Raw genomic sequence first — 26,759 nt, forward strand, 5'->3', positions numbered from 1 at the left:
GGTGGGTTGGACAGAGCCGCCAGTCAGGGCTGGGGGAGGAGCCTGGGCAAGAGGAAAGTCCTGTGGAGGGAACTGGGGTTGAGACTATGCAGTGGGGAAAGGGGGATCAGAAGCTGGAACTTGGCAAGCTCTGTTTAATTCCTCTGCCATTAAAATAACCATGAAAATACTAACAGCGATCATTACCCAGCACTAACCATGTGCCAGGCACCAGGCCAAGCTCCTCACACATATCTTCTCAGGTCATCTTCACAACAACCCTGAGATGTTGACAGATAAGGATACAGAGGTTCCTAGAGGCTCAACAACTTGTCCAAATCACTCAGCCACTAATTTATGGGTCTGGAATTGGAACCCAGTCCCTCTGGCCCTGTCATGCATAGGAAATGTTAGTGTAATGAACAGAGGACTCTCCAGGCCTCTGAGCTCCCCTCCTCAGATCCCCACTCCCCAGAACTTGAAGTGTGGCACAGGGGCAGGAAGAGCCACCAGGGGAGTCTCCGTGGCAGGGAAATCTCCCTCTTTAGGCTCAGTTCAGTAGGTCCTTGGCACAAGATATAATGACGTCCGGGAACTTGCCCGCCTATCACCAAACCCTCTTCCAATCCAAAACCTCAATGTCAAAGCCCAGGAAATTCGTGGGAGAGGAACAGCCTTCTCCCCAGCTGAGGAGCAAGTGAGAGCTGGGCTGCACCCTGCGCTGGGGCGTCCCACTCTTCCCACACATCCCCAGCCCCCAGACTGGCGCTCCTGGTGGCTGGCTCCCTGAGGGACAGCTGGGCCTGTCGGCGCTTGTTGTTTCTGCCAAACTCCATGCTATTACAACAAAACCCCTGTATTTCTTGCAAACAATTTTCCCCTTCGCAATCTCATAAATTAATTCCCTCCTTTCAAGCTGACTGGCTTCCTGCTAATCTAACCACTAACCTATCACCATCCATAAACTAAATGATCCATAAACACTCTCCCATCTCTAGCCTAATGCACTAAAATTAGTTTTCGGTTTTTCCTGCTTTATCTTTCTTTGTTAAGGGCAGATCAGGTCCAGCTTCCTCTCTTCTTCCTCCTGAACATGAGTGGCTTCCAGCTCTTCACTCCTGAAGCTCCACTTCCTTGCCCCTCAGATACTGTAGCCAAGAGGTGGAACTGGCTGCTTTCAGCTGGTGCTCAGGGCCTGAGCTGCTGAGGGCTGACTCCTGCCTGCAACCCACCATAGAATGAGCCCCACATGAGCATGGATGGGACAGGTCCCAAGGGTTGTCCCAACCATGAAGTCAGAAACTCCAGATGATGGTAGGTGGCATAAAGGTGGCTCAGATCCCTGAGACAAGGGCTCCTCCCACTCCTTGGGCTCTGGTGATCAGTGGCCATCTGCCTCCCTGACCCCTCAGGGTGGGATCAGCTGTGCTTACAGAGCCTGGCCTGGGGAAATATCAGAGGAATCCCTGGCCTAGCTCAGAGATGGGCAAGGAAGCTTCAGGTGTTCTGGGGGCATTTCCTGCCAGGCCTGGGAAATGGTGGCACAGGTGCCCTTAGAAGGACAGGGTCAGTGGGCTGCAAGAGGTGCCTGCTGCTCACCAGAACAAGACCCCCTGAGGAGGCTGCTCTCTGAAGGTGGCACCTCTTATGAAGTCAACCTCAGCTCTTGGGCCAACAGTCCCCTTTCCCAGCACTCCTCAGATGTGTGCCAGCTGTCCTAGCCCTCTAGGCAGGGCCCGGAATCTGAGGCTGCCATTTGGAGCTCTGCCCAGTGCCCTGAGACCTACTGCAGGAGCATCAGAAAGGCCACATGGTGCAGAGCCAGAGCCCCCAGGATCCATCACAGAGCCACCAAGGCTTTGTGTTAGTCCATCCCATGGGAACCCTCCCTGAAGCCCTCCCCTGCTTGGGCCTGCAGTCAGGACCTCCATGTAACCTGTCCTTCCCAGGACTGACCTTCTGCCCCCGCCCACTGCTGGCATCCGATCCTGTTGTGCCGCACCCAGTTCAGAGCCGCCCTGCTTCCATCAAGCTTCCAGGCTCTGCCTCTGTCAAACAGCATGACCTTGAGCAAGTCACCTTCAGACTCCTCATCTGTGGGGCCCATACCTCCCCAGCTGTCACAAACATGAAACAGCAACATGATGAAAGCACTTAGCACATTGCCTTGTGGAGACCCCATAAAGCAAAGGCCCATTTTCCTCAGCCTTTGTCCTCCAGCCCCCGCCCCCAATAGCCACTGCAAGGTTCTTGCAATTTGTCACCCTGGCCAGGCATAGCCACACGCCAGCCAGCACTCCTGGACCCCAGGCAAGGAGGGCTGAGGCATCAGCACATGGAGCAGAGAAAAGCCCAGGGCAGGAACATGGTCTATGTGGCCCAGGAAGGGGGCTGGGGCTGCTTCCTCTAATGAGTCCAGGGCTGGGGAACTCCTCTCAGAACTACTACAGCCTCTGAGTCACACAAGGAACTGGATTTTGGCATATCTGGCCACAGTTTAATTTTGTATCAGTGAACCTGGTCACCCACCTGATCTGCTTCCTGCCCCACAATGCCTCCTTCCAGCCACATTAACCCATCCACCTGTGACCCATCCATGCACTCACCCTCCCCTTCATCCATCCATCCTCCCACCCATCCATTCATATGCCCCCATATTTTCCTTCAGCCACCCATATACATCTGCCTCCAACCATCCACCCATCCATCTATCTACTCCCACTCACACTCTATCAACCCAACCATCTATCCAACCATCCCCAACCTCCAATTCATCCAGCCACCTATCCAGCTCCAATCCCCAATAATCCATCCATCTACACATCATCCCACTGGCCACCCACCCACCCAGGCAGCTATAAACTCAGCCAGGTTTTCATCTATCCATCCATCCATTTACCCATTTTTCTAACTCCTATCTGTCAACCCATCCACTCATCCATCTATCCATCTACACATACACCCATCCATCACCTATTCACCTACCTACACACCCATCCCCCACTTTGATGAGACAGAGCAAGACCATCACAAAATATAAGACTAGATAGCCAGGGAACTAGAACTGGTCACAGACAGCACAGCAACCACTCTGGTCCACACTGGGGACCTCCACTCGACCAACACTCCCCATGACCTTCTGGTGCTGCACTCTGGGACATGCCACCAGGTGTGCCCCAGAATCCCCCAGGCAGACTTTGAGCTGCCAATACATTCTGCACATTTGGCCAGTAAGGCAGAGATCACATCACGCTCACTGTCCACCCTCCCACACACCCTCACAGCCAGGACTGACAGCTCCTTCATGTCAGGGGCTTTGCAGCCCTGACTTGCAAGGGAACCCAGTCTAAGCCAGTGTTCTCCAGAGTCTCCAGAGATACAACAATCCCCCCCATCAGGCACAGCCTGGCCCCTGAAGCTCTGCACATGCCTGAAACCAGACAAAGAGCCTTTCTCCAGTGCTGGACCCAGAGGCCCCTCAAAGCTGCCCCAGCCTAGGTGGAACAGCCCAGGCAAAGCCTCCAGGCTCGGGAGGGCAGAGCCCCAGTGGAAGATGGGACACAGGGTGGAGATGGAGCCAGCTCCTGAGACAGCAAGGGGTACCTAGCCTAGAATAAGCCAGCACTGTGAATTTAAAGCCCCAGGGCTCCTGAGCACCAGCCTTGCATCCTCCGAGGTCACTCCTGGGCGCTGCTCACCAGACCCACAAACCCCAACTGACCTGTTCAGCCTCCCTCCCATTCAGCTGCCAGATGAGATGGCTGTCTTGCTTTTATATGATTTTCCATGAGACATGGACAGGCTGGCATTCAGAAGCACATTATTACAAGCTAGTGCTTCTCACCCTGAGTGTGCACAAGAATCACAAGAATCACCCCCACTAAAATGCATATCCTCAGCCCCTTCCCCAAGAGATTCAGTCCAGCTGGTGGGGGTGTTGGGACAGGAATCTGTATAAAAGTACGGCCTTGGCAATTCTGATCCACGTGGCCCTAGGACCACTCAGTACAGAACAACACACATCTGAATCCCCTCAGAAGAGAGCTGCCTAGCTCCCCACCCCTTGCCTCTCTGCAGAAGGCAGAACTCCCCCCGGACCTGCCCACCCTGGGCATCTGCTCAGAGCTTCAGGGCTCATCCCAAGTCTGCATAGCCGCCCCTTTGTCCTGACCTCCTCATACTCTGATTCTAGATACTTGGCTTGCAGCTCCCTCCTGGGAGGGAGGCCGCACCTCCAGGCCTGGCTGGCTCATCCACAAGCCCCCTTCCCCACTCTGAGCAAGACAGACTCCTGCAGAGTAAAGGAAAGCATGTGAGTGGGTGTTCTGTGGACCTGTGAGTTTCTAGAAGTGTTATGAATGACCCAGGAAGAAAGCATTTGTAAAAATTATGACAAATAGCTTTGATGGTGTTTTTCAATTACCCACAATTACATCTCACCTGCTGAAAGTGTGGATTCTCCATACTGCCACATTTCTTGGGAACACACATCTGGCATCCTTGCACCCCACTTCTGCTGGGATGGCAGGAAGAAGAAGAGGTGGGCAGGCCTCGGGCAGCAAGGACCCTACACTCGATTCTCTCAGCCAGTGCTTCTGGCTGGGCCATGAAAGCAAGAGGGTCCCCATTCCTGACTGACTTAAAGAGCAGGAGGTCAAGGGATCCTCCACCAAACTGTGTCATTTTTTAATTTTAATTTTTATTTTTATTTTTAGACATGGTCGCACTCTGTCATCCAGGCTGGAGTGAAGTGGAACAATCATAGCTCATTGCAGCCTTGACCTCCTAAGTTCAAGCGATCCTCCCACCCCAGCCTCCTGAGTAGCTGGGACCACCAGCAAAAGCCACTACACCCAGATAATTTTTTAATTTTTTTTGTAAAGACAGGGTATTGCCGTTGCCCAGGCTGGTCTTGAACTCCTGGCCTCAAGCAATCCTCCCACCTTGGTCTCCCAAAGCACTAGGATTACTGGCACAAGCCACTGCCCCTGACCTGCATCCTTTGACTTATATAGACTGAAGGGCTGGGCTGGGCTCCCCAAGCAGAAAAAAAGGCCCAGGTGCTTGGGGAGCCTCACCCCACTGCCTGCCTCCTCTTCAGAGGCATGAGAAAGGCCAAGGCCCCCTCCAGGCAGGCAGGAAAAGGCAATGACTCAGCACCTGAGTGCTGGTGCCAGGAGTGGCTGTCTAACCTGCTGCAGCTGCTAGAACACAGTGGACCCCAGAAGTCATGGCCCCACCTTGGCTTTAATTCTGCACATCGCATGTAACTCAGACCTAGTCATGGCCACTGCTGCCACACAGAAGCCATGCCAGAGCTGAAAAACACCTTCTGTCACCAGTCAAGCTCCGTGCTCTGCTGCAGTGGCTACTCCGAAGGTCCTGCCCTCTGCCTGCCAGGGCCAGCCCACACCAGGGGTCCACACAGGCTGACAGGTTGGGAGTAAAGCTCAGATTGCAGCCCCCTCCTGCTATGAAAAGCCCACTTCTGATGTCCTGGGGATGCCCCAGGGCCTGAGGACAAGAGAACCCACACAGGCTAGGCCTGGCATCCTCCCTGTCCGTTCCCTGGAGCCAGAAGTTGAGCCTGAGGACATGGCAGGGTGAGGGACAGCAGGGAAGAGGAACTCACCCTTGCTGAGACCCTACCATAGGCAGGGCAATCTGCTAGATACTCATTCACTCATTCACTCCCTCATTCATTCATTCATTCATCCATTCATTCAACTAAGCACCTACTGGTCACCAAGCGCTTAAGATTCACCTGAGAACCAGACTTAGAACCTGTTCTCATGGAGCTCCATTCTAGCAGGAGAGAAAGCACTAAAAACTAAACAAGTAAATACATATACATCATGAGTGCCAGGTGAGAAGCTCTATGGAAAAACAGATCAGGAAATAGGAAATTGGGGCTTGTCATGGGTTTTAAGATGGGGCTTAAGATAGGTCTCACGGAGACAGTGAAGGTAGAAGGGAAGCCATTTGAATGTCCCAGAAAGGGCGTTCAGGGTGGGGGGAACTGGGAGTGCAACGACTCTGAGGTCCTGAGGCTGGACCATACCTGGGGTGCTGCAGGAGCAAGGAGTAGGCCACTGTGGCTGAAGGGGAGGCACCCAGGGAGAAAGGGAGTAGATGAGGCCAAAATGAGACAAGATCATGAGGGTCTCTTGGGCTTCGACTCTGAGGGAAATGGGGAGCTATGGTGGGTTGTAAGCAAGAGTCACAGCCTCCCTTTATTTTCAAAGGCTCACTCTGACAATTGTGTTGGGAATAGAAGTATGGAGACCAGCCTGAAGTGCTAGCTTCACCCAACCTGGCCACAACCTAGGGGTGTTACAGTGAGAGGGCCAAGGTCAGAGAGGTTAAGCAGCTCATCCCAGCTCACTCAGCCAGGATTGCAGAGCCAGGAATGCAATCCAGGTCTCCAGCTGTTGCCTCCACCCTTTTCTGCCTGGCATGGGATGAAGGGGTGGGATCCCCTCCCCCTGCCCCAGGCCCCGGGAAAACTCCAGCTACCCTCCCCTCTCCCCCCAACTCCTGTGGGTAAAGCACCCATCCCACCATGGGGAGCACACTCCAGCTATGACTTTAGGCAAAGAGGTTCCAATAAATAGTAGCAGCTGCCTCAGAGGCTTCCATGAGATAATCTGGGAGGTGGGCAATCCTGGTGTCTGCAGAAGTTGCTGACGAGGACAGGGAGCGTGGTGAAAGCACTGCTGATGGCTTTCAGGAGGATCTGCTGTCCAGGGTGCCCAGGGGCTGCCCCTCCTCCTCTCCTCCTTCTACTCTATCAAATTCCCTCCTAGGATCAGATATTAGAACATGAACTGCAGTGACAAGCAGCTGTACCAGGAGCTCCCTAGCTCCCTCGGTGACAGCAGCAGCAGTAATCAAGTAATGAAATGCAATTACATGTTCAAACCAATCACCAATCCCTGCTGCACCTCCATAAGCACAGAGCATCCTGGGGCCTCCCCTCGTGCCTGGGCCCAGAGGCCCAATGTGGCAATACATCTGGCAGAGGTGGGAGAAATAGAGCCGGCAGAGCGCGAAAACTCAATTTATAGATTACGGTAAAGCAAGTTTATGAGCACAAACTTTCAAACTAGCCCTGCTGGGAACGAAATCCATTTCATTTGGCTCTAGCTCTGAGATGAATCACTAAGCGAATGAGGATGGCAGAGTCTCCAGGAAGAATCCTTTTGCACAGGAATGAAGAGGGACACCCAGGCCACCTCCTGAGAGATTACTGTGCATTCCCAAACATTGTAGAGGGTGGATCTCAGGGAGGGCAGCCAGGAGGTAGGGGTGACAGAATGGGCATTTCAAACACACACTTGCACCACGGATGAACCTTGAAAACCTCATGCTAAGTGAAGTAAGCACGTCACAAAAGTACTATATGATTCCACTTGTATGAAATATCTGGAGTAGTCAAAGTCAGAAGGAGAGAAAGGAGAATGGTGGTTTTGCGGGGCTGGAGGAAGAAGGAATGGGGAGTCACTGTTTAAGGGCTATAGTATTTCTGTTTGGGAAAATGAAAAAGTTCTGGAGATGGATGGTGGTGATGGCTGCACAGAATGTGAATTAATGCTATTGAACTGTACACTTAAAAATGGCTAAAATGGTAAATGTTATGTACATTTTAACAAACACACACACATCCTTAGGACTCTACCTTAGGAAAATGCTCCAAATATGGACAAAATTTCAAGCACAAGATGTTCATTGTGGCTTGTTATTATTATTATTATAGTAAAATGTCGGAGAGAGCCGGGCGCGGTGGCTCACGCCTGTAATCCCAGCACTTTGGGAGGCTGAGGTGGGTGGATCACGAGGTCAGGAGATCAAGACCATCCTGGCTAACACGGTGAAACCCCGTCTCTACTAAAAAACACAAAAAATTGGCTGGGCGTGGTGGTGGGCTCCTGTGGTCCCAGCTGCTTGGGAGGCTGAGGCAGGAGAATGCCGTGAACCTGGGAGGCGGAGCTTGCAGTGAGCCAAGATCGCGCCACTGCACTCCAGCCTGGGCGACAGAGTGAGACTCCATCTCAAAAAAAAAAAAGAAAAAAAGCAAAAAAAAAATGTTGGGAAGAAAAAGGAAACAGCAAAGTCAATTCAGATGTACCCACCAGCAGAAATATTATGCAGTCATTAAAATAGTGATTATGAAGAAATTTTAATGACCCAGGAAATAATTACCATGGCATGGTAATTATATGAAATGATGTGCCACATTATAAATCTCTTCTGCAACAAGGTCACCCAGTAAAAATGAATAGAGATCGGGCCAAAATGGTGGCCTGGGGTCACATTCTGCCTCTTCCCAATACAAAACCCTAAAAGTAACATAAACACTTTTTTAAAAATCCATAGCAGTGCTGAAAAACCAGAATGGGGTTCTTTCCTGCAGGAGCTGGATTTTTTAAAAAAGAAGAAGAATGAGGTTCTTACTAGGGCAGGAATCATGAAGAATGCTTGCAAGGCAGAAGGTTGATGGGTTCGGATTGGAAATGGTACCACAGGGCAAAGCATATCCGGGAGAGGGCTGCCATGAAGCTGGCAGCTCCAATCTGGGAAGCCCAGCAAGTGAGGACCCAGAAGAAGCCCCAAATCAAATGTGAGGGTGGCTGGCAGGGCCATGATGCCAAGCAGTGACCTGCAAAAGCAACTGCCCGCAGGCAGAAGCAGGGAGTAGGGGAGACAGCCCTCGAGTGGCAACAACACACAGGAGGTCAGTGGAGCCCATACCCAAAGACTGGGATCTGCTCCAGCTGGCACAACAGTGCAGAGCTCTTCCCATCCAGTATGTGAGTTCAGCCTCACAGATAGGACAACAGAAACCTTCAAACACAAAGACAAGCAGGCAACCCAGAATCACCCACCTTATTAAGAAGATTACACGTCGAAAGAGGCACACCAAACTCATCTGCTAAACGAACGCACCCCTGAGGACTTGGGTACTAGGACAAGCAGAATGACACTTTGAACGAGAAAACAGAGAGAGGGGAGAGGCTATCACATCCATTTAAAACGAATGAACTAGATCTGGGAACCAAACATTTCATCATTAAAGTTTAAAAAGGGGCTGAATAGCAGCATGGAACAGATGAAGATCAAATTAGTCACCTAGGGGGCTGAAACAGGAACTCTCCCAGATGGCACAAAAACCCAGAGATGGAAGGATAAAAGTAAATTAAAAGACATGAAGGATATAAGCTCCAACCACCACCTAAAAGGAATTCCAAAAAGAGACCTGAGAGAATATGGGAAATTAGAAAAGAAAATGCAGAAACACACAAGTCCTCAGATTGACAGAACCTACCACATGCAAAGTAGAATTATGTTTTGTTGTTGTTGTTGTTGTCGTTGTTGTTGTTGTTGTGACAGATTCTTGTTCTGTTGCACAGGCTGGAGTGCAGTGGCATGATCTCGGGTCACTGCAACCTCCACCTCCTGGTTCAAGTGATTCTCCTGCCTCAGCCTCCCAAGCAGCTGGGACTAGAGGCACACGTCACCATGCCCAGCTAATTTTTGTATTTTTAGTAGATGTGGGGTTTCACCAAGTTGGCCAGGCTGGTCTCAAACTCCTGACCTCAGGTGATCCACCCACCTTGGCCTCCCAAAGTGATGGGATTACAGGTGTGAGCCACCTTGCCCGGCCTTGAATTATTTTTTTTTAAATAAAAATAAATAAATAAATAAATAAATAATAAAAATAAATATTGGGCACAGAGTGGTGAAATTTCAAAATCCAAGGGACAGCCAGGCACGGTGGCTCATGACTGTAATCCCAGCACTTTGGGAGGCCAAGGCAGGCAGATCACTTCAGGCCAGGAGTTCAAGACCAGCCTGACCAACATGGTGAAACCCCGTCTCTACTAAAAATACAAAAAAAAAAAGCTAGGTGTGGTGCCGCACACCTGTAATCCCAGCTCCTTGGGATGCCGAGGCAGGAGAATCACTTGAACCTGGGAGGTGCAGAAGTTGCAGTGAGCTGAGATCGCACCACTGCACTCCAACCTGGGTTACAGAGCAAGACTCTATATGAAAAAGAAAACATAAAAATCAAAGGGAGAAAGGAAAAATGCCAAATTATCCCAGAAAACAACACAGCCTGCCTACAGAGGAGCAGAAGCTGCAGCAGTAGATGGCAACTTCTCGAGAGCCGGGGTGGCCTCTTTCCTAGCTGAAGGGATGTGGGGCTTCTCTTCACTCAGCCTCACTTTCTCTGCCTGTTAAGTGGGGAGCAGCCCCGACCTCACAGAGTTGTCAGCAGAATTAAATGACTTACTATGTATAAAGCACTGGTGCAGAGCACACACTGTATTTGACTTAGCAGTCACTGTTCCTGAGGACATGGATGCATACAAGTCAATGAAACAATATCTCCAAAGAGCTTAGGAGAGAAATGGCATAAACCTTAAATTCTCTACTCAGCTTTTAGGAAGGAAACAGGCATTTTCAGAAATGTGAAGATACAGAAAATTCACCACCACAAACCCTCTTGGAAAGAATTACCAAACGGTATGCTCCAGCAACCACAAAAATGAATCCAGAGAGCAGAGAAGTGAGTGGCTGCCAGCGGCCGGGGGAGTGGAAATTGGAGTGACTGCTCAATGGGTACAGGGTCTCTTCTCAGGATAATGAAAATGTTCTGGAATTAGGTAGTGGCAATGGTTGCACAACATCGGAATGTACTGGAAGTCACTGAAGTGTATACTTTAAAATGGTTAAAATCATGTGATGTGCATTTTACCACAATTTTTAAAAATGAATCAAAGAACATAATGTGGAATGCAAAAGCAGTAGTGAGAAAAAACTAAAACTTATCATTAAAACTTTATTGAGGCCCAGCATGGTGGCTCACACCTGTAATCCCAGCACTTCGGGAGGCCAAGGTGGGCGAGTCACTTGAGGTCAGGAGTTTGAGACCAGCCCAGCCAACATGGTGAAACCCCATCTCTACTAAAATTACAAAAATTAGCTGGGCATGGTGGTGCACACCTGTGGTCCCAGCTACTCAGGAGGCTTAGGCAGGAGAATCGCTTGAACCCAGGACGCAGAGATTGCAGTGAGCCGAAATTGTGCCACTGCACTCCAGCCTGGGTGACAGAGTGAGACTCATCTCAAAAAAAAAAAATTGGTTTTTATTAACTATTAAAATTTGGAACTAAAATCCCAGCTGGCCTCATGTTAGGTAGTGATACAGCTCGGGGCAGAAGGACATTGAGGCATAGAAAGGTCTCAATTTGTTCCAGGAGACACTGATTATACGTTGAGAGACACGTGTAAACATAAAGGTATCTTTAACATATAAGCAGTCACTAGAAAAACAAACATGTAATGTATTATTGAACCCTTAGTGGATGGCTCTCCACTGGGAGAAAGGGGGAGGGGACTTTTTGGTTGTCACAAGACGGTTGGAGTCTGCTGTAGCTTAGTGTCCAGGGTGAGGGATGCCAAACGCCCTGTGGTGCAGCAAAGACTCCCACAGCCCAAGGAACAGTCCCACCCAAAGGACACAGGGCCGCTGTTGAGAAAACTGCTTTAAGGAACAAAAACCTGGACAAAGAAAACACAGTTGATTCAATAAAAGGCAGGAAAGGGCAAAAGTAGCACAAGAAAGCATAGCAAACAAGAAACACAAAATAAAATGGCAAGGAAAAGTCCAGGCATATCAATCATCTCAATAAAAGTAAATAGATTAAGTTATGCTAATAAAATCTTCAAAAAAAAATGAGATTTTTTTCATCATGACATAACTTTTTTTTTTGACATAACTTTTTACAAAAGATACAAAACAAACACCCAGGAAGGTTCAAGATAATAGGATGAGAAAAACAACACCTAGCAAAAAATAACCAGAAAAAGGGGCTGTTTATCAGACAAAATAGAATTCAAGGTGGAAGCACTCAAAGGAACAGGGAGAGTTCATTTTGATAAAAGACACCATCTACACCAAAAATATAAGTCATGACACTATATGAACCTTGCAACACAGCTTCAAAATAGATAAGGCAAAATTAACAATAATTGAAGGGGAAACCAACCAATCCACAATCTTAAAGATGATTTTAACATTTTTCTTTCAGATTCAGTGAGCAAAAAATAATATGAAAGATTTGCACATCTCACTTGTATACGTTTACCTAACAATATTGTATTAAATACTTACATTCTAAGTTCTGGTTTAAAGTTCTGCATATATTAACTAATATCATCCTTACACACTACCATGAAGTAGGCACTACTGTCCCACGCATTGTACACAATGAAACTGATTTCCAGCAACTCACTCACCATCCTGCGGCCAGCAGGAGGCAGGGCTAGGGTTCCAGTCAGGAACTGGCCCCAAAGCCCGTACACTCAACCTCCACTTATGCTCCCTCTCGAGACCCAAAAGAGACAGCACAGTCTTCCATGTACACCCAACTTTCCACAGTATAAATCTCAGTAAAATCCTTAAGAAAAAGGTATTCAAAAATTCATTGTGCATTAATGAAGTCCAATGCAATAAGACCAGGAATTAACAATAAAAGAAACCTCCTTCCCAATCTATCTACTTAGAACACTTAAAACATTCTTTTTTATACCTGCTGGCTTAAAAGAACATAACAAGAGAAATTTCAAACTATTCAGAAATTAATTTGAATTGAGCACCTATTGGAATGTGGCTAAAATCATACTCTTTGTAAAATTCTTGGTAAACTAGGGATCAAAAGTAACAACCCTAACCTGATAAAGGACATCTCCTAGAAACCTACAACAAGCATCACACTTAACTGGGAAACTGTAGAATGTTCTACCACTAAAAATATTTAGCATTGTCCCAGACAACGTGACAGCACCTGAAAAAGAAATATGGACAAGTGTTGAAAAAGGACAGACAAAATTGACATAATTTGTAGCAAATATAGGTATCTACCTATGAACTCCAAGAGAATTAACTAATAAACTATTGGAACTCATACAAGAGTTCAGCAAAACTCAAGGATATAAAATCAATATGCAAAAATCAATAGCTTTCGTGTATGGGAGCACTCCCAATTAGAAAATGTAATCTAAAAGAAAGCTCATTTGTATTAGAAATAAAATCAATAAAATCCCTGGGGATAAACCTAGTAAGAAATGGGCAGGACCTACACAAAGAAAAACATACAACTTTACTAAAAGCATTAAAGAGACCCAAAATAAATGGGGAGACACACTATGCCCCGGGTTGGTAACTGTTCATATTATGAAGATGGGAGCTCCTGCCTTATCTATGTATTCAAAGCACCCACTGACAGACATATATTTTCATGTATAATTGCCAACAGTAGTGGATGAGAAGTAGCTAGTGTCTACTCACAAGAATTGCATGTGTTTACTGAGCACTTATTTACCTAATCAAATGTATGAAAGTTTGAAGAAGGGTAAAACGGTCTGAACCACATGAACAAATTCTGAAAAATCGGAGGGAAACTTTAATGAAAAAGTAGAAGGCAGCTCAAATCGTCCATAAGACCAAAATTAAAATTTAAAGCCATAGAGAGACCAAAGAGCATCAAATAAAGAGAAGAACAATTTGCCATTGGAAGAGAAGCAATGGAGTACTGTTGGACCAAGCAAATGGTGCCAGGTTGCAATAATCAGGGAGCTGAAGTCCCATGGATGCACATAATGTCGGAGGTGTGGGCCACAGCTGTGGGCACATCACGTGGTAAATTGGAGACAAGAGTGGAGCAGGTGCCAGGTTACCCAGGAGGAAACCAGCCAAGTGGGGCCCTAAAACAAGAACACATTTTTAAAAGAATTTTATTTTGGCCAGGCGCAATGGTTCGCACCTGTAATCCCAGTACTTCAGGAGGCCGAGGCGGGTGGATGACCTGAGGTCAGGAGTTCGAGACCAGCCTGGCCAACATGGTGAAACCCTGTGTTTACTTAAAAAAACAAAAATTAGCCAGACATGGTGGCAGCGACTGTAATTCCAGCTACTTGGGAGGGTGAGGCAGGAGAATCACTGGAACCCAGGAGGCAGAGGTTGCAGTGAGCCGAGATTGCACCACTGCATTCCAGCCTGGGCGACAGAGCAACACTCCATCTCAAAAACAACAACAAAAAGAATTTGATTTCAAAGTAAGTCATCCTGCGAAAATGAACACCTTTGTTGGACATCCTTACATTTATGCTATAGTTTACTGCTGTTGTTATTTTGAGTTAGATATGGAGCCTAAAATCCCACTGCTTAGAGGATCCAAGGGTCTTGCTGTAACACTGGTTATATATTAGTTATCTCTACCCAGCATGCCCTCATCAGGACGGCAGACTTTACTCTGCCCACTGCCAGAGACCCCACCATTGGACAACAGCATCTTAAAGAATTTCCCCAAGCAGCCAAAAAGCAGAGCAAACCCACATGAGAACAATAGCACTCACAATCAATCAATGCCAATATTGAGTCATGGACACCTATATACTGCTCTTTCGGAAGTTTTATCACTGAGCTCATTAAATGCTGTATCTTACTGGAGAAGAATGCCATTGTTAATTGTGTTTGCAGTGAACTCTTAGGATAAATAAATTAAACAAGATGATATTTCTGTTAACAAGATCTGCTAGAACTGCATGTGTTAGGTAGAAGAGAAGGCTCACAGTAATTAGGGAAATGGAAAAGAAAATAACAATGAGGTACCGCCTATCAGCCATTGGACTGACAAAAATTAAGACTGATAATATCAAGTGTTGGCAAGAATGTGAAAAAGTGGGTGCTCTTCTTACCCTGTCGCTGGGTGTGCAAATTGATTCCACTTTCTGGAAGACAATTTGGCAGAAGCCATTTTTAAATTAAATGTGCATGTTATTCAGACAAGCAATTCCACAACTTAGAGTCCACCTAGATACATAGGCATATATAAGGATTTCCATGACAATATGGTTTGTTATTGTGCAAATTAAAAACAACCTAACTATCTATTAAGGGGGGGTATCTGTTAAATATGTATTCACAGTTTCATGTATGTCATGAAACTCTGTTTGAAATGTGGTGGATTTATATGAAATAGCACAGCAAGCTCACCAAGACATTGGTGCATGAAAAGAAGCAAGTGCAGTAAATAGGTGTAGTCAGCATTATTTATATATACAAAACACACAAAAAGAAAGCAAAACTCCTTATTCTGTTATGTGTGTAGGTTACATTTCTCTAAATGTAAACACAGAGGGAAAGTTCTGCTGGAATATAGAGCAAGCTGATTTCAGTTTTCCCTCTGAGGCAGGAAACGGGCCTTTTGTTTCTTTTAATTATTTCTTCAGTCTTTCATAATGAGATGTGTTTGTGTATTATTTGTGACATTTAAAGAAATAAAAGTGTTAAAGTTGAAGGCTGAAGACAAAATTGAGTGAATGGTATGCGCTCAGCCATGTGAAGAAGTCTGCAAGAGGAGAGGCTGGAAGCCATGAGCAGCGGTGCTCTGCATGGCTGGGTTCCTGGCAGCATTTATCTTGCCAGGTACCGAAGCACTTTCATGGGCTTTTCCGCATGTCCTCATTTTTCCGTGATCCTCGCATATTGCTTTTACAATCAGAAAAATTCAGGAAGCACTTTTATGTGCAGCTGGCTGGTGCCCCACTCTCCATTAAGGAGAGGTTCCCTATAGATTATCTCACATCCCCAGAAATGATTCACAGGTCAAGAGTGAGCCTTGGAACTCTATGTGTGCTTGGCAAGAACCCCGTTCCCCCCTCCACCCCCACCAACATGCTCAGACTCACCTTTCCTGTAAGCTGTGAGACTCCCAGGACTTGGGGACTCTGCATGAGGCCCTTTAGCTCTAAGGCCCTCCCAGGACCCCCGGGTCACCCCACCCCCAGCCTCTACCTCCCTGTATAGCACTTGACAAGAGAGTAAGTCCAAGACCTGGGATTTTGAGGGCTGAACTGGGGACACCCAAGGCTATAAGGACTGAGTGTCTTTCAAGCCCAAAAGCCCTGTCACTATGGGCTGGGTGACCATATCCAAGAAGGCCAGGAGGAAAGCAAAGCCCTGGCTCAGAGAAAGAAGCAGGGGTGTGAGACAAATATCCGCCAGCATTGCCTCCCACATGCAGGGACAGCTTCAGGGCATCCCTCCCGAGCCCTCTAATGTAAAGTGATAAAGCGGCTGCCTGGTTCCCTTGCCCTGGCCAGCCCCGCTGACCACAGACATGCATGCTGCCTGCTGCAGGGTCCACAAGGTTGCCTTGGCCAGGCTGCCTCTCCCCAGCTGTCATACCATGGGCCCTCCTCTAGGGCCCTCCAAGGCAAGTGAACATGCTGTGGTTACAAACAACCGCCAACCCCAACTAGCCAGATGTCTACAGCCCATGTGGTTACTGGGTGAATACCCCAATATGCCTCCATGGAAGCCAGGAGGAAGGGGGCCCGCTGATGTCCATGGACCAGAGCCTGAGAAGGGCTTTGGCAAGGAGCCCCCTGCCTACTGGTGAAAGGATAGGGGTGGGCCGAGTGTGCAGACTCCCTCAGCTGGCAATGAGAGAATGACCCAAATGACCTTTCTGAACATATATGCTACCTTCTGTGACCATCCCCTGGTCCACACTCACTGACTGACCCCTGACCCCCAACCAGCCAACTGGCAGAACCCAGAGGTCCCAGACACAAAGTCTCAGCAGAAGGGCCCTGCTGGGGGTCTCTGCTCAAATTGGCCTGCCAGTCTACCCCTGCTCATGCTCTGGACAACTCAGAATCCAACCCCAAGGACCCAGAGCCTGGATCTTCCTTATGAAGTTGGAGGTGGCCACCTCCCTTGAAGCAAACCAGGCCACATCACAGTTTGGCATCACTGGTGCCCTTCCAGGCCAGCCTGTGAGGCCAAGCATGACCCACCCCAGATACTGACCACCACAGCCCTCTCCTCAGCTCCTGTGCCACTTCCCACACTCTGATCTCGAGGATGGGCTCCCTCCCTGCATGCTGAGCTAGCCAGCAGGACTTTCCTCCCCTCATTGCCTCCCCACAAAGTCCTTCCCCTCCCCCATCCCAGTAGCGTCAGGCATCAGGGCCTGTATCATGGACGAGACCGTGACTCCCCCAGGGCAGGAGCGCATCTCTGTTTCCTCTGCATCCCCAGCCCCGGGGAGGGCCTCAGCCCTTCCTGCTGACCCCAGACTCACCATTCCCATCTCGGGGGTGGTTCACACCCTTCCCTCTTGCAGTGCGCCAATTTCCCTTCCTCCCTACCTTCTTACCAGCCTTCCTTGGGGCTCCTCTCCCCTCAAGCTCCTCAGGCAGGCAAAGGAGGCCTCTGCAGAAGGCAGGAGGTCCTGGCCACCCCACAAGTTTGGACGCTGGGTCCAGCAGGCTGGCAATGCCACCAGGGCTGGACACGTTTCCCTCTTTCAGTTCCCCTCCAGCAAGCCCACCCACAGCCCAGGGCTCAAGACAGATGGCCAGGAGCAGACCCCTGGAGACTGCACAGTCACATTGATGGTGGATGCGCCCATTTCCAAGCCCTGACCAAGCACCGGGAACAGCATCTCACCCCGTTCTTGCCCCAACCACAGGCTGCCATCAGGATCCGTCCCCACAGCGCCGAGCAGCAAGTAGAGGCCAAGATCACCTTCATACTTTGTGTGAGGCCACATAGCCAGGAAGAGGAGAAGCTAGAAAATAATCCTGGTGTGGCTCACAGCAAATCTCAGGTGAGGCCAGATGCCGAGGGAAGTAGGTTTCCTGGCAAATACAAGCCACATAAGACAGGAGCAGCACGTCCAGGAAGCCCGCTGCACATGGGCACACCACAGACCTGGTACAACTGCCCTGGCAGGTGATGGCTCATCTCACAGACGTCACCTTGCAGGAGCTTAGCCTCAGAGAGCTAGGGGACCACAGCAAGTTCCCGCAGCCAAGGGGCAGGAGGGCCTGGAGGCCAGGACTAGTGAGCAAGGAAGGAACAGGAAGGGCAGGCTGCATGCCCCAGGCCTCCCCAGGAACACCATGAGAGAAGGGCCACCAGGGTCCCACCATAAACAATCCAGGGAGGCTGTGGCAGGGATGGCACATGCAGGAGGCATCTGGAAGCCCATCGCTGATCATCGTCACCCATGTAGAGCTGCTGGCTTGGCCTGGCCCACGGGATGTGTTGCTAATTCCACCTTTCCCCCATCCCTCACCTCTCTGCCAGCCGCCCAGAGTATCATGGCCTCTTTAAGTGGCTCCTAGGTTCTCACTGGGCATTCCAGCCTTGGACTCCCATGCTAGACAGCCCTGGCTGGGGCAGGAGGCACACAGAGCCGTCCTGACAGGGCCTCCCAGCCTGCAGAGCCCCCCTTCCCCAACTACCCAGGGAGGCCACTACCTGCTGAGCCTGAGCAGCTCCGTGTGCAGCCAAGGGGGTGGCCCAGAGCAGTATGTGGGCTTGGTAGCAATTGTGATGCCCCCACCCTCTCCACAAGGTGTACAAAGTGCCCACAACCCCATTGGAAGCTGGAGGGCTGGAGTCAACACAGTGCCAGACATTCCACCAGTGCCCTCCACTGGACAGGGCTGGAGAGACAGAGACTCCTAGTCTCCCCAAAACACTGACTTGGGACCCCAGGAGCAGGGGGAACAGAAAGAGTTCAGACTTTGGGGTCACCAAGCCTGGGTCCCCAGCTCAGCAGTCACTTCTATCCCAGTTCTGGTCCCTGGGGCAGGTACCAAGTGTCTGAGTTTCCATTTCCTCATCTGCAGACAAGTTGCCATGAGAAACATACACCTACTGCTAGTAACTGGTCTGGCACAGAACAAGCGCTCAGTAAAAGCAAAGCCACTGCCTATTCTCCAGTGATGAGCATCCAGCCGCTGTCTCTGCCAGGTCAGACTGGGAACTGTATGGTGTGCAGAGATGTATCAGACACGGGCCTACTGCCTGAGACACTGGCCATCCTGTTGGACAGGAATGACACAGAAAGCAGAAACCGACAGTCAGGACAGACCAGACGGAGGCTGCAGGGCTCAGGGCACGCCTGCAACACCACAGCACCTGCCAATGTGAGACCATTCATTTCAGAGATGGGAAACCCCGAGTCCAGGCCAGGGGTGACTTCCCCGAGGTCATGCAGCTGGCCAATGGCAGGGTGGGGCCCAGAGGGGCCGTCCCTGGCCTCTCCACCCCCATGGCTGGATTGGCTTCCTAACAGCCCCTCCTTGACCCCTCCAGAATCCAGGCCAACTTCCTGCTGGAGGAGGGGGCTGCCCCAGGACGGTGAAGGGAGGGCAAGAACAGCCCCTGGAGAGGAAGAGGATGCATTCCTGAAGGAGAATTCTAGACGGACCCCCTAGGATTCAGCGGCATGAGGTATGAAGGGTCCAACCCTCTCCCTGCAGCTCAGAACGCCTCTGAAGGGCCACTCAGCCTCAGAGCTCCCAGGGGTCTGCTGGGGCTTCCCCTGGGATGGCCTCTCACCCCTTGGCTTGTGTCCTGCCTGGCCTGACTCCTTTCCCTGCCTTCCCCAGGTGAAGATCCCAATGTCACCCCCAATAAGCCTCCTAAAAGCCAAACTCCCACTTGAACTCAGCTCCCTGGAATTGACACTGTGTCCCAGGCCCCTGCCTCATCCCCTCTGGGGCTTCCTTCCCTGCCTTCCCACAGTGACTCCCGAAGTGATGCCTCCAGCACACCCCTCTCCTCCTGAGGCTTCACCCAGGTCCCCCAAGTACCCCAAACTCCATGGTCTACACCGACCTCACATCTTCCCCTGCTCCTCCCTGACTCCTCATCTCAAAGATGGCCTCCCTGAGGCCCAAGCGTAGACGTGACCTTCACCCTGATCTTCCCCTTCCCTCACTCCAATACCCAGAAGCCAACCTCCAAGCTCCTGCTCTGACCTTCACACAGCCCCTCCTCGCTTCTCCGCCTGGCTGCACCATCAGCCTGTCCAGCCCACCTTCCACCAGGGTGGCCTCCCAGAAACACAAACCCATCACATCACCCCCAGCTTCAAATCCTTCCAGCTCCTCTCTGCTATCAGTATGAGGTCCAGCTCCTGCTCCTGGGAGACCCACCTACCACTCAAACCTCCAGCCTCATCTTCTACCAAATCTCCCATCAGGCCAGTGCTCCAGCAAACCACCAGGCACTCCCTGCACACCCCACAGATGGAGGTTTCTCATCTCTGCTTAGAATGCCATCTCCCACCACCATCTCTTATCTCTCATCTTAGGCAACCTGGTCAACTCCTATCCACATTTCAAAACCCCAACTAAAGTGTCTTTCAGGAAGCCTTCCCTAACTTCACTAGAGAGCAAAACTTTCCTGCCAGTCTATGCTGCTTCTAGGATAATTTCCCATTTATTCCATGAACTATAAATATTTGTTTCCATATCTATACTTTCCCCACTAGACTGGGAACATTTTGAGGAAAGGAGTTGTGCTGGAGCCATCCTGGAATCCCCTGCATTTAGCAGAGAGCCTGCCTTGCAGCAAGCTGTGAACAAATGTTTGTTGAAAGTACAGTTGACACTTGAACAATGAGAGGTTGGGGCGCTGACCCCTCATGCAGTCAAAAATTTGAGTACAACTTTTGACTCCCTAAAAACTTAACTACTAATAACCCACTGTTGACCGGAAGCCTTACTGATACCATAAACAGTCTATTAACACATATTTGTGCATGTTGAATGTATTATATACTGTATTCTTACAATAAACTAGAGAAAAGAATCATAAGGAAGAGGGAAAGTATATTTACTATTCCACTATTAAGTGGAAGTGGATCATCATAAAGATCATCATTCTTGTTGTCTTCACATTGAGTAGGCTGAGGGGGAGGAATAAGAGGGGCTGGTTATGCTATCTCAGGGTTGGGAGAGGAGAAAGAAAATCCTTGTGTAAATGGACCTACACAGTTCAAACCAATGCTGTTTAAGGGTCAACTGCATAGCTGAATGAATAAATGAATCAACCCACTAGCACTAGATGCCAGCCGCCACCCCCTCCCTTCTCTCCTCTTCCCTCAAGCTGTGCGCTGCCTGGCCAGGGGAAGCCCCTCACCTCCTACATCACTCATGGCAAAGGCTGCCTCCCCACACCTGGCCCCCTAGTCCCCTGGCCTATCCATCTGCTTGACTAATGAATAGAACAAACTGTGTTCCATTTCCGGGGACTATGCCTGCCTTAAACTGCTTTGAAGAGCATAGCACCTGCTCACATATCAATTAAAATTATAATTAGGTGGTGAGAGTATATAATTAAAATAACACGTTCCATCTCCCTCATTTACTGCTGCTGCTGGCTGTCTAGATGAAGTGAAGCAGTTCCCAGAGTGGATGGGGGTGGGGATCGCCTTTGTCTCCGCATGCACCATGCTTTCCTTCCAGGTGTCTCTTCTGGCACAGAAAGCAGATCCCCAAGGTTGCCCTAAGCAACCCAAGTGAAAAGGGTTTTCTGTCACTTGCTCAATTATGACTAACGCTCCTTGCCTGGTTATGGTTCGTGTCACATGTCAGACTTTTTCAGGCCTCCACACCTTTTTACCTGAAGTAGAAGAAAGGCATTTAGGGCTATCTGTCTAAATGCCCTTCTTCTACTGTATGCATAAGAAACTCCTACTCATCCTTCAAAACCCAATTCTGACTTTCATCTGTGCTGGGTTCTGGGGACATAGGGGAGAAAAATGCAGTCCCTACTTCAAGGCACACACAATGCTGGGCATAATCATCCCCATGTTCCAGAGGAGGAAACCGAGGCTCCCTGATAATGGACCATGGTTGGGAGGCTGAGGATGTGGCCGGGTCTGCAGAGCCCTCCCACAGCCTCAGTCCCTCCCCACTTCCAGAACACAGGCCTGTTAAATCCACTGCCATCTCCTGGCCAGCCAGCGGTGCTGGCAGGTAAACCTGTCAAGTGGCATGTCCTGCTAAACAAGAATAGGAGTGTGGTTTGGGAGGAGCCATTTGCTGCTGCATGGTGCTTTGCAGAGATTTTGCTCAACCAGGAGATATGCCCACCACCTAGCACATCCTGCTGTAATATTTATGAAGTCCCATTTTGGCAGAGCATAGGGGAAATCACTCCTTGCCTTTTAAAATTAAACTCACTTAGACTTTCATTGCTATAACCATTAAAACCAGAGTGTTAGCTACTGTCGGCTCCTCCGAGTTGATTTGCAGCCAGCCAGGGCTGCCTTATCCCTCTGCCTCCTCCAGGATGCCAGGTGGGGGAAAGACTCACAGTTATTGAGTACCTCCCAGGTGCTGGGCACTCTGTGGGGTATTTTACCTATGCTGCCTTGGCATTTCCAAAATGGGCTTTGCAAAGCACTAATTACACAGGATGTTAATAGGTGCTCTGCCAAATAAAGTTCCATGTTCAACTGAGCCTGCAAACACTGAGCTCACAAAAGTTAATGGGCTTCTTTACTGCAGGACTTCTCAGAGCCTTAAATATGCTGATGTATGTGGTGATGTCCTCAAGAGAAGCATCTGGCTGGGTCATATGTATTTGGCCACAGAGGCTGTTTTCTCCTGCAATATTCAGTAAAATCAGTTGTACAGAATTCAATCTGGGACATACTGCTCTATTCTTCCCCAGCCTGGAAAGTGGCCATTGCTGTCCCTATTTTAGATATGAAGAAACACACTCATGAGGTCTCTCTCATTCACTGCTATATCCCCTGCATCCAGCATGGAGACCTCCACACAGCAGGCCCTTGACAAACAGCTGAGAGCTATATGAAGAGATGCCCAGCCAATGGCCATGGAGGGGAGAGCTGGGACAACACTCTGAAAGTATCTGACTCTTTCAAACTCCTCACACTTCCCATGGCCACTTCTCTAAAGCTCATGAAAGAACCCCTCTCCAACCTGCCCCACAACTGGGTAGACTGTGAAGGGACTGGGTATGCAGGAACCTGGCCTGGTCCCAACACAGGGTAAACCCTTAGAGGGGCCCTCTCACCCTAGTCCAGCTGAGTATGGTTTCCATGGGGCCTAACCAGCCAGTGAAGGGGCAGGAATCCAGGAGTCACATGAACATCACACCTGTTGATCCCAAACATTGAAGACAGAAGGGCGGCAGGGGCTGCTCCACTCCACCTTTCTGAAGGCTGTGTCTCTATCACAGACAACTCCAGGTTGCTCTCCTAGGAGTCTGATCACTGGACTTACTTGTCCAGTGTTGTGTCTAAGAAGGAGATTGTTTCACAGTGTTTGCAATAAAATGTACACAATAACACATAGAAACACTAATAGGGTGCACAATGGCAGAGGCAGAGGCTAAAGGCTGATCACTGTAATCCCCAGCCCCTGGCCAAGCACACGCTTAGGAATTGGACAGGATTTCATGATGGAATGGAAGAACCGTGACATCCAGGAAACAGAAGGCTGGGAGTGGGGGCCTCTAAGGATGTCAGTGCTCCTTGCAGCAGTGGCACCCTGAGCTCCGGGTCTCCTCTAGAGCCCAAGCAGGCAGCTGAAGAAGAAATACAAGTGTATGTCCACAACCCGGCCTCCTCCACGGTGACAATTAACGCTGTTTCCCACCATCACCCGGTCCACACCTCCCCATACCCCTGCCGTCCTCTGGGTGCCTGGAACCCCGTGGTGTCCCCACCCAGTAGGCTCCAGGGCTGGTTTTCATATCAGGTACTAAAGCGCAATGATTAGGTGACAAACCTCATTTGCCAGAAGGCAACACGCAGAGTCATAACCAGACCTGGCTCCATGGGAACATGGCTATAAATTGTTTCTGACAGTTGTGTTATTTCATGTAAGCGTCGCCCACTCATCTGTAGGCATTTCCAGAAAGACCCTGAGCCCTGCTGACTGCCTGGCCCACTATTTTTTTTTTTTTTGAGACGGAGTCTCGCTCTGTCGCCCAGGCTGGAGTGCAGTGGCGCGATCTCGGCTCACTGCAAGCTCTGCCTCCTGGGTTCACGCCATTCTCCTGCCTCAGCCTCCCGAGTAGCTGGGACTACAGGCGCCCGCCACCAGGATGGCTAGTTTTTTGCAGTTTTTTTTTTTTAGTAGAGGCGGGGTTTCACCGTGTTAGCCAGGATGGTCTCGATCTCCTGACCTCGTGATCCGCCCGTCTCGGCCTCCCAAAATGCTGGGATTACAGGCATAAGCCACGGTGCCCGGCCAGCCTGGCCCACTCTCTATCTGACCGACTCATCGAACAACACTAACCACAAGCCAGCCAGCAGGAACGCAGCCCATCCCCTGTTAGGGAGGCCCCCCACGAGCCCACCGGCCACTCCAACCTGCATGTAGGCAGGACAGGACCAAAGGCTGCCTGGGAGAGTGGCTGTGCCGCCCCAGGCAGGAGCTGGGAGGCTTTGATCCTTGACTTTGTGCGCTCAGGAGTCTGTAGCCCGGGCCTTCCCACAGGGACACCATCCTGTAAGGGGCAGACAGCTTCCAACCACACTGGGCCCCAGCTACAACACCACAGAAAGCCAGCACTCGGGGAGGCACTGACCCTCCCACGTCCTGAAATCGGGGAACTCCCATCAGTAGGGGTGGCCTAGACAGCCTGAAAACCACAAGGGAGAACCCCAGAGGTCAATGTCTACAGCCACCAAGGAAGAACTGCTCCTCGTGGTGGCCTGGAAGTTACAGTTCTGAATGTCCAGCGCAGTTTATTTGCTCACCTTATCCTGCTAACAGCCTTTCTCTTCCCTTTGGGAACTTTTTTTTTTTTTTTTTTTTTTTTTTTGAGATGGAGTCTTGCTCTATCCCCCAGGCTGGAGTGCAGTGACATGATCTCGGCTCACTGAAACCTCGGTCTCCCAGGTTCAAGTGATTCTCCTGCCTCAGCCTCCCGAGTAGCTGGGATTACAGGCGCCCGCCACCACACCCGGCTAATTTTTGTATTATTAGTAGAGACAGGGTTTCGCCATGTTGGCCAGGCTGGTCTCAAACCCCTGACCTCAGGTGATCCATCTGCCTCGGCCTCCCGAAGTGCTGGGATTACAGGCGTGAGCCACCGTACCTGGCCTGGAACTTCTTTCTAATTCCACCTGGTTTTGGAAAGAAGTGAGACACGTGGCTTGGGCTGGCCAATGAAAATACTCCTCCCTGATAACACTGATTGGCTCTTGGATGGGCACATGACCCAGGCTGTGCCCGTCAGGATACTCCCATCCCTGGTAACACTCATTGGTTCATGGATAGGCACATGACCCAGGCTGGGCCAATCAGGATATCCATTCCCTTGTTGCACTGATTGGTTCATGGATAAGCACATGAACCAGGGTGGGCCAATCAGAGTCCTCTGAAGACCTCTTTCCCCTCGAGTGGAAAGGGAATGTGGTCTTTTCTCTGCCATTTTTGCTAAGCCCGAATAGTGGATGACGTGGAAGGAGCCTGTACAAAATGAAGTCAAGCAGAGCCACAAAGAGATACTCTACAGCCCCGAATCCAGCCTGCCCTGAATCCCCTTTTGGCAAAGGCCAGGGTGAATTGGATCTTTGTCCTGTACAACCGAAGAAACCACAGCTGGAATTCATTTGGGAAACTTGCTGGTCCCTCCCACCTAAGAGTCCACAGTAACAGCCCCCCAGGGGAGGGGGGAGTCTCGCTCTATCCCCCAGGCTGGAGTTCAGTGGCGCAATCTCGGCTCAATGCAACCTCCGCCTCCCGGGTTCAAACAGTTCTCCTGCCTCAGCCTCCCGAGTAGCTGAGATTACAGGTGCACACCACCACACCCAGATAATTTTTGTGTTTTTAGTAGAGACAGGGTTTCGCCATGTTGGTCAGGCTGATCTTGAACTCCTGACCTCAAGTGATCCGCCTGCCTCGGCCTCCCAAAGTGCTAGGATTACAGGTGTGAGCCACCGCGCCTGGCTCCCATTTTAATTCACACAAATACCCTGGGTATTTAATTCACACAAATACCCTGGGTGGCAGGGCCTATGTTTATCCCCATTTTATAGATGAGGAAAGTGAAGCTCAGAGAGCTTCAGTAAGTTGCTCAAGGTCAAAAACTAGTCGGTGACAGAGCTGGGGTTCAGATCCAGCTGGTCTGCCTCCAAAGTGCTATCTCTCACCTCCTCTCTCAATTCAAAGGCAAGCTCCACGTACCATGTCCACCCTGAACCCCAGCACCCAACACAGTGCCTGGTGCCTGGCCCAAACAAGACACCAGTGAACATCTGTGAAGTGAACAAATGCTCTCTGCCCTGCCACACCTGGACATCTCCTAGGAGCCTCCCAGGAATCCTGCACTTTCGAGAAACATCTCCTGAGCTGCAAGGGAAGGCAGGGGAGGAGGAGGAGGAGGTATGGGGTGAGAGAAGCCACCAAGGCTGGCAGAGGCCAGGCCAGGGCACCTCAAAGCCCCATGCGGGAAGCCTGGGGATTGGCACGGGCCTGCCCATGGGGAGTGGATTCGGTGATTACCCAGTGCTGGCTCCACCTACACTAATTAACTTGCAGCTCCCAGGGGTGTGGTAGTTCCCACTGCACCCTGTGGCTGGGCTAGGCAGGCAGAACCACACTGCAGGATGCACACCGAGGAAGAAAGCTTAGGCCTTTGCCTCCCGCTGGGGAGGAGAACCTAGAGCCGGCCCTCAGGCATGGCCATGTGAGCAGCCTCACAGGCAGTGAGGAGGCCAGCTGCACCTTTCTGAGGAACCCACGACAGCAAAGGAGGGAACGAGCAGAGTGGGGAGGCTGGGAGTCAGCAGACCAAAGTGACCTCAAGAGGAGGTGTCAAGGTCTGGGGTCTGGCAGCCAGCTCAGAGGTATTTAGTCCTCCATGCAACCTGCATTGATGGAACACCTGCTGTATGCAAGGCACGGCGCTAGAGATGAGG

The 26,759-nt window shown here is 50.2% G+C and overlaps 1 protein-coding gene across 1 annotated transcript in view, besides 3 other annotated features; it reads right to left on the reverse strand.

Annotated features, from left to right (window-relative positions):
• The window catches only part of GRID1 (glutamate ionotropic receptor delta type subunit 1), a 767,244-nt gene that overhangs the window by 713,516 nt on the left and 26,969 nt on the right, over positions 1 to 26,759 (reverse strand). The window lies entirely within an intron of this gene.
• Positions 16,631 to 17,595: an enhancer, noted in NCBI's record as "H3K4me1 hESC enhancer chr10:88089455-88090419 (GRCh37/hg19 assembly coordinates)". NCBI's record gives its function as "activates a minimal SCP1, AML or CMV promoter by ChIP-STARR-seq in primed H9 embryonic stem cells {active_cell/tissue: H9 hESC(primed)}" and the evidence as "EXISTENCE:reporter gene assay evidence [ECO:0000049][PMID:30033119]".
• Positions 18,727 to 19,228: an enhancer, noted in NCBI's record as "H3K4me1 hESC enhancer chr10:88091551-88092052 (GRCh37/hg19 assembly coordinates)". NCBI's record gives its function as "activates a minimal SCP1, AML or CMV promoter by ChIP-STARR-seq in naive H9 embryonic stem cells {active_cell/tissue: H9 hESC(naive)}" and the evidence as "EXISTENCE:reporter gene assay evidence [ECO:0000049][PMID:30033119]".
• Positions 19,229 to 19,728: an enhancer, noted in NCBI's record as "H3K4me1 hESC enhancer chr10:88092053-88092552 (GRCh37/hg19 assembly coordinates)". NCBI's record gives its function as "activates a minimal SCP1, AML or CMV promoter by ChIP-STARR-seq in naive H9 embryonic stem cells {active_cell/tissue: H9 hESC(naive)}" and the evidence as "EXISTENCE:reporter gene assay evidence [ECO:0000049][PMID:30033119]".

The sequence above is a fragment of the Homo sapiens genome, chromosome 10, assembly GCF_000001405.40.
Source record: "Homo sapiens chromosome 10, GRCh38.p14 Primary Assembly".
Lineage (NCBI taxonomy): Eukaryota > Metazoa > Chordata > Mammalia > Primates > Hominidae > Homo > Homo sapiens.